The sequence below is a fragment of the Homo sapiens genome, chromosome 4 (genome assembly GCF_000001405.40).
Source record: "Homo sapiens chromosome 4, GRCh38.p14 Primary Assembly".
Lineage (NCBI taxonomy): Eukaryota > Metazoa > Chordata > Mammalia > Primates > Hominidae > Homo > Homo sapiens.
Genome location: NC_000004.12, coordinates 163,127,767 through 163,143,548, shown reverse-complemented (window position 1 = coordinate 163,143,548; position 15,782 = coordinate 163,127,767). Strand labels below are relative to the sequence as shown.

General features: G+C 34.6%; 1 protein-coding gene across 9 annotated transcripts in view, besides 1 other annotated feature; it reads left to right on the top strand.

Annotated features, from left to right (window-relative positions):
• Nucleotides 1-15,782, top strand: part of NAF1 (nuclear assembly factor 1 ribonucleoprotein) — a 62,962-nt gene that overhangs the window by 23,342 nt on the left and 23,838 nt on the right. For 5 of the 9 annotated variants that reach the window (XR_938799.4, XR_938798.4, XR_001741350.3 and 2 more), the window contains exons 5-8: nucleotides 3,166-3,326; nucleotides 6,299-6,350; nucleotides 10,293-10,395; nucleotides 14,201-14,697. Coding sequence is in view for 5 of the 9 variants with exons in the window: in XM_011532410.4 (XP_011530712.1) it covers nucleotides 3,166-3,326; nucleotides 6,299-6,350; nucleotides 10,293-10,395; nucleotides 14,201-14,652 (768 nt within the window). In the remaining 4 variants the exon portion in view is untranslated. Of the gene's footprint in view, nucleotides 1-3,165; nucleotides 3,327-6,298; nucleotides 6,351-10,292; nucleotides 10,396-14,200; nucleotides 14,881-15,782 lie in introns of those variants that run through there. The other 4 variants (NM_138386.3, XM_047416407.1, XM_047416408.1 and 1 more) reach the window with 2 other exon arrangements.
• Nucleotides 1,078-1,372: a silencer, noted in NCBI's record as "tiled region #7208; HepG2 Repressive non-DNase unmatched - State 16:ElonW". NCBI's record gives its function as "represses a minimal TATA promoter and a strong SV40 promoter by Sharpr-MPRA in HepG2 cells {active_cell/tissue: HepG2}" and the evidence as "EXISTENCE:reporter gene assay evidence [ECO:0000049][PMID:27701403]".

The following is a 15,782-nucleotide window of genomic DNA, read 5'->3' as shown; positions in this document are numbered from 1 at the left end:
ACATGGTATGTGTGTGGAGAGGGGGAGGAGAGTACAGCTCATTCTCCCTTTTGCTGTATTGTCTGTGCACCTCCAGCCTGCTGGCTCAAACAGGCCTTCTACGCCGCTGAAACTTTTGCCATGGTGCACACAGAACATTTAAGCCCAGCCTACGCTGGGATGGAATTTGGGGAACTGCATGCACTCTATATCTTCTCTGCTTGTCAGTTATTTTTCCCAGCAGATCCTACATTATAGCTGTACCACGTTGTTGTTACAGTGTGTGTTAACCTCTGTGTGTGATAGGAATCCTTGGAGATCTTGTAGCAAAAATATAATGACTTTGAGTAAAAAATGGTGAGTATTATCACCTAGAGCCAAGTGAAAGGATACCTAGAAAACCACTTCTCAATGACAGGGCAAGTATAAAGCATCAGTTGGATTAAATTTTTATATGAACACCTACAGAATATATACTAGTTTTAAAGATATAAAGAAAGCTGCTTGCCCACCTCATAGTAAAGGTCTCAGGTGCTACTTTTCCAAATTCAGTTTCTTATACTCTCCTTACAATCTATTACTTCCTTTGCTTTTATCTTGAATCAGGTAGTATGGAAGTTCCAGAATCCCCTAAGTTGGGTGGAATGACCAAGAAGGGATATGGGTGCCTCCTATGGAGCTGTATGAGGAGAAGTGGGCCGGCCTGAGCCTTGCTGTGTCTTAAGTTGCTCTTTACAGTTTAGCTCTCAGGTGTTAGTCAATCTAAACTCTACACTCAGAGGCTAATGGTTATTTAAAATATTGTTAAATTCCTCTTTTCTACTCTGGATTAGCCAAATTGCTTATGTGAACTTGGTCAAGTTTTCCTGTAACATACCTATTAGTATTGGCTCATGCCACATACTGTCTATTGTATGGCTTCCTGTTATCTACTGCCTGTGATGTTGTTTTACTTAAAACTTTATAATGATTTCATTATAGTTGTGGCTCATAAACACTTCAGAACCTAGGAACAGTCAACTAAAATACTATGCTTTGCTTTTGTCCAAGAATTTTGAATGTCACTTATATTTTAGTTCAAACCATACTGCACAGACCTGAAGTTGGCAAGGAATTTTTCCACTGAAATTGTTTTTCACACTTAGGAAATGGATTCATGCTATCTAGGAAACAAATCCCTGGGAAACAGTCTGTGTACCAGGTTGCAAACGATGATTATTTTACCTTGTATTAATGGATACACAGGAAACTTAAAAGATATTTTTAAATCTCTGACCAAATGAAGAATTGGGTTTGTGTATATGTGAGAGAATTAAACTTGTGAATTGTTTTTAAGACAATTTTAAGTGAAAGTAAGACTACAATAATATATGTCATGTAGGCCAGTAAGAGTGGTGCTGAGTGCACCTCTTCTGTCCTTCACAGTTCTTACTGGACGAGGTCTACTGGATTTATCTAAACCTTTTCAAAGCAGATGTCTTGCTATTTTCTTAAAGTTTTTTGCTTTTACACTTTTTTAAAGCTTTAAATTTGTGATGCTATTAGTGTTATTTCATAATACATTGGCATTTTAATAGTTTTTAATGTCACTACTTCTTTTTAGAGTACACATATCTTCAGAATGGTGGTGCCCTGATAGGTGAGCTGTTTTACGCCTTAATGAAAATTAATGAAAGATTCAGTGCTGTACTGAAATCATAAAATGTGAAGAGCATTTACTATCAAAAATCAAGAACTGAGGATGTGATAAAACAGCCATGTTCAATGCAGTTGGTATAAATTGGTCCAAGCTATTTAGAAAGCTATTTAGTAATTTCCATTAAAACTTTTATGCCTTAGTGTTAATTATCGTACTTTCAGCTTCAATACCTCCACTCCTTACAAATCAATTTTTAGGAAGTCTGAAGTATAGTGATTTATATATGTTTATCATGGCATCATGTATTATGTTGAACAAATTGGAAGCTGCCTAAATGTCCTACAATAAGAAAGAAGTTAAGTAAGTTGTCCTGAGTCTGTAAAGGGGTGTTTTATGATAGCTAAAATTATACTTACAAAGAATATAACATGGAACAACTTTAGGTTTTTAAAAGGGGGCAGTATACAAAACTACAGTATGGTCTTAAAGAAAAAAATAACGTATTATAGAAAAAAGACTGGAAAAATCTATACTGGCATTGATCATGGTCTTATCTCTATAATATACATATATTATCTCGCTTTTGTCCCCCAGGCTGTAGTGCGATGGCACAATCTCGGTTCACTGCAACCTCTGCCTCCTGGGTTGAAGTGATTCTCTTGCCTCAGCCCCTGAGTGGCTGGGATTACAGGTGCCTGCCACCACACCCGGCTAATTTTTGTATTTTTAGTAGAGACAGAGTTTCACTATGTTGGCCAGGCTGGTCTTGAACCCCTGACCTCAGGTGATCCGCCCGCCTCACCTCCTAAAGTGCTGGGATTACAGGCGTGAGCCACTGCGCCCAGCCAGAAAATATATTTTTTAATTCACGTATTTTGAGAAGAAAGTACAATTTGAAACCAAGAAGTTTCCTTTCATTATTCTTAAAACGTTTTCAGAAGTAAAATATGTGGTTCTGCTAAAAGCAGTTCTTTTAGTTAAATGTTAAAGGCTGCACCATCTTTGTGTTTTTTAAACATAAATAACTTCTACTTTATTAGTTGTTAAATTAGAAAAAGTCTGTAATTTTACAAAATTCCTAACACTGTGGAAACAGCAAAAGTGATTTAACTCCTATTGAAGTCAGAAGCTTGCTTTTATATTTCCCATCTGATGATTCCAAATGTATACAGTTTTCTCAAAAGTTACCAATTATAATCCTTTTCTGTGTACTTTACAAGTTAAATGAGCAATAATTTAAAAAAATCATAATTTGCATCGAGTTGGTACCATCAAAATGATTTGAATTTGGTGAGGAACAAACTTGTTACTATTGTTTCACATTCATAGAAGGGAAATCTGGAATGAGCGAGTGCATTTTAATCAATATATGAAGACTGAATATGTAAAAATGACATAAATATAACTAAAAAATTATTTTATTGCCCTAACACTGACAAAATTACCTTGTTCTGGCAATTATCAGTGGGATTTTTAAAAGAAAACACTGCTGACTTTTCAAATAGTTATTTTACATGTTAAAAGAGGCCTTTATGTTTCTATTACAGATATTCGAGATATTTGGACCTGTTGCACATCCATTTTATGTGTTACGGTTTAATTCTTCAGATCACATTGAGAGTAAAGGTATTAAAATAAAGGAGACTATGTATTTTGCTCCATCAATGAAAGATTTCACTCAATATATATTCACAGAAAAACTAAAACAGTAAGTACTTTACCGGCATGTTGTTCTTCACTTACCTAACGTTTATATTTTAAGAATAATTCTCAGTGATGTAATTTCTTACAGTTATATTGTGTGTGTCTTGCAAAGAGTTCATTTATCTTCCTAATAATATCTTTGAAGCCTACAATTTATTTTCAGATTTTGTACGTAGAATTCATATCTTTTGTAAAAAATGAGATGATCAGCCATTAAGAGCACATTTGAGCCATGTACACTTTCTGATTCTAGTTCAGTGTTTTTTCCATTATGTACATTCTTTAATGTACTTACTATTTTAGTATTAGTACTAATATTATTATCATTTCTTAATAACTTTTTTTTCAGTTAAGTAAAATTCTCTTTGGATTCTATTTAGGGGCCTTGCTCTTCAATAAAACTTTAAAATAGTTTTCAAGAGAAAAAAAATGAGTGTTATCTCTTTATTTTGCTTATAAATTTTAAGTTTGTAGAAGAGACAACTAACACGTGTCCCTGAAAAATTGTGTAGAAAGTTACGGTGTATGGAGTTGACCTAACCAACAAACCAGTGCTCTCCATTTTGTCTATCAATAATGCTAAGTGATTTCTGTGGCATGTGACCGCAATATTTTTTTATATTTGTGCTCCCATTGGTTGAATATTTTTCAAATGTTAGCTGTTGCCAGCTGTTAGTTGTAGAGCTGTTTGTATCAGCTAAACTTGTTATAATTATGTTATTTAATTTTTTATATCAGCAAATAGCATATGAATTTAAGATTTTTTTTTAATAAAAATAACTTGAATGCTTTCGAATGATGTAATGAATATGAGCCACTAAAAATATTTTCAAATTGGGAGTGGAAGAAAAGACTGCCAAAGACTGGGGGAAGGTTAAATCCAGAAAGACTTTGCACTCAGTTTGACACAGAAGTTCCTTTTAGTTCTAGCTCTTCTTTTATTGGAGACTTAAAACCTAGGCGATACATTTTTATAGATGTTGTTTTTGCAGGAAAACAAAGGAACTTTGGTCACTGAGTAACTTTGGTATTATGTCAAAGGTACCAACCCCAGTTGCATGGCATAAGAAGATTACTTATACCACTTACATGTTAAATCAAGTCTCAAGTCACCAAATTTCATTTATTTCAGAGATGAAAATTTTGATCCTGATAATTGATTTAACTCATGTTTAAGAATCTACATAAAGATCTGGAGGAATATTTTGCCTAAGTTATTCTTCACATTGCATAAGGTTATTTTCTTAAATAACACTGACAAGAAAGATGAATTAAATACACATAAAGTCTTCAAGATATTAATATGTTCTAAAATGCTTTAAATATTTAGCATTTCATCCTGCTTTGAATATAAAGATACTGCTGTGGATATGCCATATATTTAGCTTTTTAACAAATAGAGTATTTTAGCTTAAAACAGATAAATTTGAAGAGGTTTTCTGAAGATGGTTTTTAAATAGATTTTAGATAATAGACTCAGTCTTTGGTTTTGATTTGCAGTTCTTCTATTAAGAAGCAGTAGTAAATCAGTGAATTGGGAAATTAGACCTATATTGCAGAAACCTCCCTCTCCCAGGAAAACTGTTGTATTCTAGACCTCATTTTGGCATCTGTCATGGGAACTTGGTGGAGTACTTTGTCTTTGAGGTAGAGAAGTTCAGCTCCTTTCCAGCTTACTGTTCTCTAATGAGGCTATTTTGATCTTAGTTTCTCATGTACTTACTGTCTTGTTAAAAGTGCCTTTTGAAATGTTGCTTGATCTTTCCTTTAGTAGATTTTGATTTTTTGTAATAGACGCACTAGTTGGGGAATTTTTCCCATTTATGTCTGTGATTCCAGGCTAACAGCAGTCCAGATCATGAGATGTCATATGTGCAGAAAGGAATACCAGAGATATATTTAAGGCCCATGTGTGAAATGACAATTGAGGAAATGCTTTTTTCTTTTAAGTGATGGAAAAGCCATTGATAATGGCTCATATATAATGTCAAAGTTCCGAATCAAAAATTTAAAGCAAACTTAATAACTTTCATGTTGTGCCAGCAAACTGACATCTGTACATTGATTTTAATGGCCTTAATTCCTGGGAATCTCATTTATTTTTGAGATCTAGTTTAAAACAATAAGGACATCTAGTCCTAATACTTTGTAATATTTTACTTTGTGATATTTTAACATAATGGAATAACAAAATAGTAGCTGAAACTATGAAATTAACAAAATTAAAAAGATTAAAAATGAGCTTTCACAAATTATACTGCTCATAATAGATATCTGTACTTTTGTTGGATGTAAAGTGTAAAACTCTCCACCAAAAGTTGTTGATTTTCAGCTGCAATTACACATTTCACACATGCCAGTCATTATATTGTCCTTCAGAATCTTTAAAGCAGCTTCTCTTCCTCTTCCTCCAACTATTCATAGTTAGCCTTTGTTTGACCCTCACTGCTTTGAGAATCAGTGTTGGAATAAGCCTTGGTTACTCATAGAGGATTGCTGACATTCCTCAGGTAAACTGAGGAGAAAATAATTCATATTGATATCTCTGCCATTAAACCTGTAAAATCTGTGAAAAGGGAATGCCTCATAGTCATTTTTATGTCCTTCGCACATGGAACAACTTCTGATCTACAGTTGGCGTGAAATAAGCATTTTTTTTAAACTGAGTTTTGTGAAAACTGCAAATATTATGAAAACAAAAATCAAAAGAGCTGTCCATCTGCTTTCCACTGCACACCATAGCCTTGGCTTCTCATTCCAGTTCCCTAATCCTAATATTTCTACTTGCTCAACTTTTGTGTTTTTCTTAGGAGCTTCCCACATCTTTTGAAATAAGGTAAAAGACACATAACTGTATTGCAAAATTAAAGGTTGAACTCATGTCCTTTACTTTATTATTTTCTGTACTTTTAAGTTATGAGCACTTAATAGAATTGTGATGAATACTTTTTTGACTCCCATCCCCACCCCACTCAGGGATAAGGGATCAGATGCATCATGGAAGAATGATCAGGAACCACCACCAGAGGTAAGTATAAGTCTTTTTATGCAACATTTTATAAAGTAGGGCAGGACTTAATCTTATAAATTTTATCATTCTTGCTGTTAGGGAAGTCATTAATACTGGCTAGCAGCCATACTGCCTTATCCTGTCCTAGCGCATGTATTCTCTCACCGTCCTAGATGACTATTTCATACCTTTCAGTGAAAGGTTTTGATTGATCATTTAGGAAAAAAACTTTTTTCAGTTACATTTAGTTGTATTTTAATAATTATCACCTTATCATTTACATTGTAGTTTACTATTTTTGTCAACTTTGTTGATGTCTGATAAAGGCAGGCTGTCATTATTTTTTAAAAATTTAATTGAGTTTAGTAAATACACCATATGGGACATGAAGACATGGTGCTTTTAATAGCTGTCCTTCTTTTGGAAGTACAGAATCATTGGAAGCACAAGATCATTGGAAGCTACCTACCTCTCTACTTTTTACGATATAACTACCTTTCTAAAAAGAGACCTTGATTTTCTTTTTGTATCTATGTCAGCAAAACAATAGTTTTATGCCCCAAGGTGACTTGATAATCTAGTCTTCCTAGAGATGTGAAGTAAATTTAGGAATAATATGTAAATAAGTTAATGATTTAATAGGATTACTTGGTTAACATTCCATGAAAGTGTTTAAGCAGATTATCTTGAGGGGTTTTTTTTTTGAATTACAACAATGAATATATTCATTTCTTAAAAATAGCATGTATTTATACAGTATAAAATAAAAATGTATATAAATATTTTTATAAGTAAAAATTATACATGAGAGTTTTTAAAGCTTGCTCAGCAGTTCTTATGAAGTTTTCTCAGTATTACAGTTTTTTTTTTGTTTTTTTTTTTTTTAACAAATATAGACATGGGGGTCTCAGTGTGTTGCCCAGGCTGGTCTCAAGCTCTTGGCCTCAAGTGATTCTCCAGCCCTCAAGCAAGCTTCTGCCTTGGCTCCCCAAAGTGCTGGGATTACAGGCATGAGCCCCTTGCCCAGCCAGTATTACAGATTTTTGATACTTACCGATTTAACCTTGGCCATTTTAGATGTTTAAAGCAATCGTAAATCATGATCTGTGTTTCTAATTTTACTGAGGTATGAATCAGGTTTATGCCCACTTGGAGGGTTCTATACAGGTATGAATCACTTAACCAGTGAATGATCCTTGCTTAGTATCTGAATTGAAATGGAATTATGTTTTCTAATTAATGTTATGTATTTATGTGATTTCAGTTAAGGCTCTGAATATTCACTTAATGTTCTGAATTAAGTTTTAGAGTATCTATAGCATCTTATTACTGGAATTACATGTTTTAAACGTGTTTAGAGATTCATAAACATCTCAAATCATATTTCTTTTAAAATCCAGATATTCTTTTTTTCTTTTTTTGGGTAGGGGATGGAGTTTTGCTCTTTCTGCCCAGGCTGCAATGCAGTGGCACGGTCTCAGCTCACCGCAAACTCTGCCTCCGGGTTCAAGCAATTCTCCTGCCTCAGCCTCCTGAGTAGCTGAGATTACAGGCGCATGCCACCACGCCCAGCTAATTTTGTATTTTTATTAGAGACGGGGTTTCACAATGTTGTCCAGGCTAGTCTTGAACTCCTGACCTCCAGTAATCCACCCCTCTCTGCCTCTCAAAGTGCTGAGATTTCAGGCGTGAGCCACCGCACCTGGCCAAAATCCAGATATTCTAATGAATCCCTCTTGTTTCGGACCTAAGCATTGAAGTTACCAATTACAACAATGCGAGTTATTTGTAAAATTGGTTTGACTAGGTTAATTGCAAAATTACATCTCACCTAGTTCATGGTGTTTGTTTTTTCCAGGTAGCTTGAACTGGATCATTAAGTATCTTGGGATTTAATTTTGTAATATTTGTTGGTGAAACTTTGTAGTCTAGAATTATTGCCTGGTATTGATCATAGATTAAAATTAGAAATTTGTGAGGTTTAAACTTAAAAAGAGAAAAAGGAGAAACATTGCGTGATGTGAAAATAGAAAGCTTGCATAAAGGAAAATAAGAGAAATTATGTGCTATGAAATGTTGGGCTGCATAAAGGACCTAAAAATTACCTACGGTTGTATCATGTTCATCTTCATAGCCATTTTTAATATGCCACCGTATACTTTATGGTTGAATAAATGTATTTAATGAATGGAAATTTGAATTAATTTGCATATAAGAAACATGAATTTTTCTCTGATTTTAGGAGTGATAGCAAAATACTACCAGAGTAATCTCTCTGAAATAAACTATTCCCAATTAAAATCCTTACTTCCTCCCTCCTGCTCTTAAGATGATGTTCAATTATTTAAAATGGCACAATAAGGTTCTTTGTAAGCTTCTCCAATTTTATTTTTTCTGGTTTTGCCATGTAAGAAGCAGCAGCTTTCACTTTGCCTTTCAGAACCATTTTTCTTTTTTGTATATACTGTTCTATCATGCCTCTGTGTGTATTGTTCACATTTTCTGAAAATTCCCTTTATTTTCATAGCTAACTCATTCAGGTATTTCTGTTGGGTTATCCATACCAAGAAGTCTATCTTTTCCTTTTTTCTCTTTATCCAGCACTATAATAACATAGCATTAAGTCGTAGCACTTGTTCATTGTACATTTAATCTGTTTTCTCAGAAAAAGGAGTCTTCTATCTGATCTCCATACTTTCTAGTGTCTTTCAGATACCAGATTTAACCTGAGTTTTAAAATCTTATCGTATTAAGATCAGTAATAAGAAATTATGCATTGGAAGGCATACAATTAGTTCATGTTTTCAAATTAGATTTCAGAATCTGAAGTGTATGGATTCCTGGTTCATGGAGGATTTGATCTAGAATGTATTCCAGTGAAGCCATACTGAAAATTACATACAAAGACTTTCATATACATTTTATTTCTTCTTTTTAAATGTGTATCCATCCATATATGGTGGGCCTGCTTTCATATATTTTTTGTATGAAACATAATAGACGTTTTCTGGCATTAATAGAATAATAAATTAATAGAATAATTAATAGAATAATAAAATGCCTGAACTATAGATGACAGTCATAATATATATAGCTCATAATCTTGGTTTTCTTGGTGGACTATAACAATGAATCCTAATAATTAGTTAATGTGAGTTTTACCACCTTTAATTTTTAAATAATTTCCTCTTAGGAGTTGGATCATTCATGTATCTGCTTATAAAAGCCTTTGCCATGTTGATCAGGCTGGCCTCAAACTAAAAATACAAAAATTAGTTGGGCATGGTGGCGTGCGCCTGTAATCCCAGCTACTCAGGAGGCTAAGGCAGGAGAATCGCTTGAACTTGGGAGGCAGAGGTTGCAGTGAGCTGAGATTGCACCACTGCACACACACACACAAAAAAGCTTTTGCCTATGGTTTTATCTAAATAGCTTCCCCATGATTTGTATACCCTTATTTTGCCTTATTTATTTATAACTCTTGCTCTGTACCTAAAATTATATTTAAAAAATAAGATGGTAAACCTGTAAAGAATGAACCTGTGAAATGTTTAGAACAGTGCTTGGGTGTGTATTTTGAATGAATGAATTATGGAACATTGTCTTCTGTTTTTTATTGGCTCTGATAATATATATAATTTGCTTAGTCCTTGATACTCTTACCTTTGGCACCCTTTTGCATCTGATACTATGATGAATTTTAAGTCTAAACTGGAAGTCAGACTCATATCTGAAGGCTGATTACTGGCCTGTGTTAATTAAAGTCATTAAGCATTTATCAAAAAATGCTTTATTTTTATACCATGTCTAATTCAGATATAGAAAATATTAAGTATCAAAAAGACAACTTTTTTTAGAGTCATTGATGCATAATAGGCTTATTTTCTTCACCTCCAAGTATGTACTATTGAATTGGCAAATTCATGTAACATAAACCTATTATATACTTTTCTCTGCAAGGCCTTAGATTTTAGTGATGATGAAAAAGAGAAGGAAGCCAAACAGAGGAAAAAATCTCAGATTCAAGGCCGGAAAAAACTCAAATCTGAATTTAATGAGCCTGGTGAGTGAATACAATATATATACTCGTTCTTTATCTTCATTTACATCTATATAAGTTTATCAATAATAAAACTGAAGGAAACATCTGGGTTCTCTCTGTTTACCTCCTAGCATCCTGCTAACATTTAGAGCCATTACATAGCAGGAGGTGTGGTAGTTTTATGAGCTTAAGCAGTAAAAATGGCTTCCTGGGGTAACAGAGAGACTAAACCTTGTTACTCGTGCTTGTCAGCACTTTTTTCTTAAGATACCTATTTGCTTCCATTTTTAGGATTTTATGATCAAGTACTTGATGAACCCCTAAATCACAGTGTCTTATTTTTAAACATGCATTCCCTTTACCTTTTTTGAAAATTAAACTTTCTGAGATAACCATAGATTCACATACAGTTGTAAAAATAATAGGAGAGGTGCTGTATGCCCTTTATTCAGTTTCCCCCAGTTGCAACATCTTGCATAACTATATATGGAACACTGTCCCAGCCAGGATATTGACAGTTATACAATGAAGCTATACAACATTTCCATCACCAGAGAGCTACCCAGTTGCCTCTTTATAGTCACAGCCACGTCCTTACCTCTCAGCCCCTCCTTCACTCATGGCAACCATTAATGTGTTCTCCATTTTCATATATTTTGTCATATCCAGAAAGTTATATAAGTGAAGTTATACACTGTAGTACGATTAGGGAAAGGCTTTTGCCACTGAGCGTAGTATCTGTGCATCCACCCACATTATTGCATGTATCAATAATAGTTTGTTCCTCTTCATTACAGAGTAACATTTCATGGCATGAATTTACCAGATTACCTAACCATTCATCCATTGAAGGACATCTAGGTTGTTTCCATTTTGGGGTTATTAGGAATAAAGCAGCTATAAATATTTATATACAGGTTTTTTGTGAAAAGAGGTTTTCATTTTTCTGGAATAAATGCCCAAGAGTATAATTGCTTGGTTGTATAATAGTTGCATTACATGTTTAGTTTCCTAAGAAACTACCATACTGTTCTTCAGCATGGCTATACCATTTTACATTTTTATCAGCGATGTATGAGTGACAATTTCTTTGCATTTTCTCCAGCATTTGGTGTTATCACTGTTTTTAATTTTGGCCATTCTGCTAGGTTTGTAGTGCTAATATAATTGTGGTTTTAATTTGCATTTTCCTAATGGCTAATGGCATTGAACATCTTTCCATGTGTTCATTTACTATCGGTATCTTCAGTGATATGTCAGTTCATTATCTTTTGCCAACTTTTAAATTGTATTGCTGGATTTTTACTGTCGAGTTACGAGAATTTAAAAATGTATATTTTAGATACTAGCTTTCTGTCAAATATTTGGTTCGTTCATGATTTGTTCTAGTCTGTAGTCTTTTCCTTCTTTTAAGATGGCCTTTTGCAATACTAAAGTTTTTAGTTTTGAGGAAAACTAATTTATCAATTTTGTTTATGGAATCTGAGAACTTCCTGCTTAGCTTTAGATCCTAATGATTTTCTTCTATTTTTTCCCTAAAAGTTTTGTAGTCTTCTGTTTTAAATTGTACACTTGTGATTCATTTTGAGTTAAATTTTGTATAGAATGTGAGGTTAGTCTTAAAATTGCGTGGAGTGATAACTCCTACTTTATTTCTCTTTTTCAAAATTATAATCGGTATTCTAGGTCCTTTACCTTTCAGTATAAATTTTAGAATCTTCTCTACATCAACAAATGTCTTGCTGAGGTTTTTTTGTTTTTGTTTTTGTTTTTGTCTGTTTTTTGAGATATTCTTGCTCTGTTGCCCAGGCTAGAATGCAGTGGTACAATCATAGCTCACTGTAACCTTGAACTTCTGAGCTTTTTTCTTTCATTCTCCTGATAGTATCTTTCGTGGAGCAGAAATTGTTAAGTTTAATGAAATTCAGCATATTGATTATTTCTTTCATGGGTCATGCCTTTGATGTCCTATCTAAGAAGTCATTATCTAAAAAGTCATTATTGGCCGAGCGCAGTGGCCCAATGCCTGTAATCCCAGCACTTTGGGAGGCCGAGGCAGGCAGATCAGGAAGTCAGGAGTTCAAGACCAGCCTGGTCAACATGGTGAAACCCCATCTCTACTAAAAATACAAAAATTAGCTGGGCATGGTGGCGCATTCCTACTTGGGAGGCTGAGGCAGGAGAATTGCGTCAGCTGGGACCCGGGCAGCGGAGGTTGCAGTGAGCTGAGATCGTGCCACTGCACTCCAGCCAGGGCTACAGAGCGAGACTCCGTCTCTAAAAAAAGAGTCATTATCAACCCAAGGTTGTCTAAATTTTCTTCTATGTTATCTTTTAGGAATTTTGTAATTCTGCATTTTACATTGAGGTCTGTGGTCCATTTTGAATTAATTCTTGTGAACGGTGTAAGGTTATTGTCTAGATTTATTCTTTTTGCATGTGGATGTCCAGGTGTTCCAGCCCCATTTGTTGAAAACACTACTTATGCTCTGTTGTATTGCTTTTGCTCCTTCGTTAAATATCCGTTTATTATGTTTATGTGGGTCTATTTTTGTATGTTTATGTGGGTCTATTTTTGTACCTTCTATTTTGTCCCATTGATTTATTTGTGTGTCCTTTCACCAGTACCACACTGCTGTGATTACTTAAACTTTATAATACGTCTTGAAGTTGGGTAGTTTCCGTCCTCCAGCTTTGTTCTTCTCCTTCAATATTGTTCCATTGAGTTTTTAATTTTGGTTATTGTAATGTTCAGTTCTAAAATTGCAATTTGTTCTTTATTTTATATCTTCTTTTTTTCCTAAAACTTTGTAATTTTAATTTTTTAGAATGTTCATAATATCTTGTTGAAGCATTTTTATGACTGCTTTAATACCTTTCATAATTCTAACATCTTTGTGACACCCTTGCTTGATTTATTTTTTTCATTGAATTTGAAGTCTTCCTGGTTCTTTTTGTGATGAGCAATTTTCTTTTATTGCAACCTGGGTATATTGAGTATTATATTACAAGACCATGGATCTTATGTAAATCTTCTGATTTAGCTGGGTTTGTTGTGATTGTTTCTTTGTCTTTTTAAAAATGCTACTCTGGCAGCGAAAGGAACAGGGTAGATTGAAGTCTAGGTATTCCTCTTAGCCTCTGTTGACACCTTTGGCCAAGGGGTGCCTTGTTACTGCTGGATGAGGGTAGAAGTTCTGACATCCCACGAGGTCTTATGCCTGGTAGGGACAGGAGTACTTTGTCACTCCTCCCCATATGGTATGCACTGACACCAGTGGAGGATGGCCTTGTTATCACTGGTTGGGGACAAAAATCCTAACTCTACTCCATCTTCTCTGACATTGCCCCAGTGTAAAAGAGGGAAGAACACTGGGTTGCCGCCAGTGGAGGTGGAAGTTCAGGTTCCCCATGTGATGTTCATTGTTTGCAGGGAGGCTTGTTACTGGCACCCTGTTCAGCCTGTTCCTGATGCTACTGTGGTGGAAGGGTTGGAGTACCTCATTACTGCCTGTCAAGGATAGAAGTCTAGGATCTGTACTCAGCCTTTGAGAGTGTGTAGGGATGGTGCCACATTTTCTTCTGTGGTGTTTGGCTAGAGTAGAATGGTTATCATCTAAGTGTTTTCTGACTTGCTGGGTTCTCTTTCTTTGGCATTAAGTTTTGTCTTTTCAGTTCATTTCAAATTTACCATTTTATGTCTTACACTTTTTTAACTGCCACAAGATATACTGGATAATAAAAATCATAATTGAAATTTCAAACAATGCTTTTTGATATATTAAACTTATTTTCCTTTTTATGTTTTCCCTCCCCTCACTCAAAGGTGAAGATTTTACTGAAGTACATCAGAATTGGAATGCTCATAGCTCTGCTTCAGAGCATGCAAAAGGATATCGTAACAGAGAATTCACACGAGGATTTTCCAGGGCCAGATACCCTCGATCTTGCCATGGCAGGCCTCCACCTCAGCATTTCTATAACTCAGAACATATGGTATCTCAGGAGACTTCAGGATTTCCTTCTCAGAGACAAAATAATCCCATTATGCCACAATACCCCTTTCCTCTTCCAGTGTTTGACATGCATAATTTTCCCCTCCGCCCTCCACCCCCACCACCACCCCCACCTGTAAACATGGGTTGGGCTACACCAAACATGGCTGCTCATCCATTACTTAACTTACCATACTCCCTACCCCCACCCCCTCCCCCTCCACCACTGCCTCCTCCACCCTCTTCTGGAGATAGTAATTCTCATTTTGGACCTTACTATTAGGTGACTATGCATTTCCAGAGAAATGTGGACTTTTCATATTATGTGGTAAGGATTTTTTTTTTTCAAGAGTGATTATGGAGCTAGATTTTTAAAAACACTGTAAAATACTAAATGATTCCTTCTGTTGTAAGTTGATATATATTTGTAACCTTTGTGAAATTGTATTCATATGAAAATGTCAGCTCAAATTCTTGGGAGAACATTAAATTATGTAATATTTAATTAAAATTTTGAATTCATGCCTTCTCCCTCCCAACCCCACCCAGTTAAACTATATATATATATATATAGTAATGGATATGGGACAAGTTTCATCATGGGTAAAATATATGGAGCACATTGATTTTCTTGCTATAATCTGAATATAAGATGAAGTCCTTTTGAGAGTCTTTAAACTATTTTTATAAATTTATACTTTGGAAATCAATTTTAATTATAAATGTAATTTGTGAGTAAGTTTAAATGACCATAATTTTTCTTTTTAAAGCAGTTGAGGGATATAGAGGAGAAAATTCTTATATATTGGTAGAAGCTCTGATTATAGCTAAAGTAAAAAATATTTATTATGCATAGGCAAGCTTCCATTATCTGTGCAAAATAATTCCTTTATTTGGGCACTGTTCAGAAGGCTTTACTATTTAACCTCCTAAAAGGGATGCAAAGATTATTCACAATAAGATCTATTTAGGGATTTTGTCTTCCATATTTGTTTTCCAGATCCTCACATGCAGACTAGGTTCCATAAATAACAAATAGTTATTGAATATCTGAATTAAGAGTTTTTAATTAAATGAGTAATGACTACTGCTTTATATTATGAAGTGTCAATGTAAGGGAAATTATGAGTTTTAGAACTAGAAGAGACCATTGAAATACTCCAGTTTTCATTTAGTAAATGAGGAGCCTAAGTGTTCCAAAGAGGTTAAAATAATTTAACTAAGATCACTCAGCTAGTGAGTTGACAAGGAGTTGAACCTAGTTCTTCTGGTTTTCTTATTAGCAGTTTCCACTAAGTAGATGTTTCCCAATCTTACATTCCTTTACACACTTAGGAAACAGTATTTGTATGGCACATTGGAGTAATCTGGAGACCACTTAGCACAAGCCCATGCGCTCTGGTTGCACTAAGG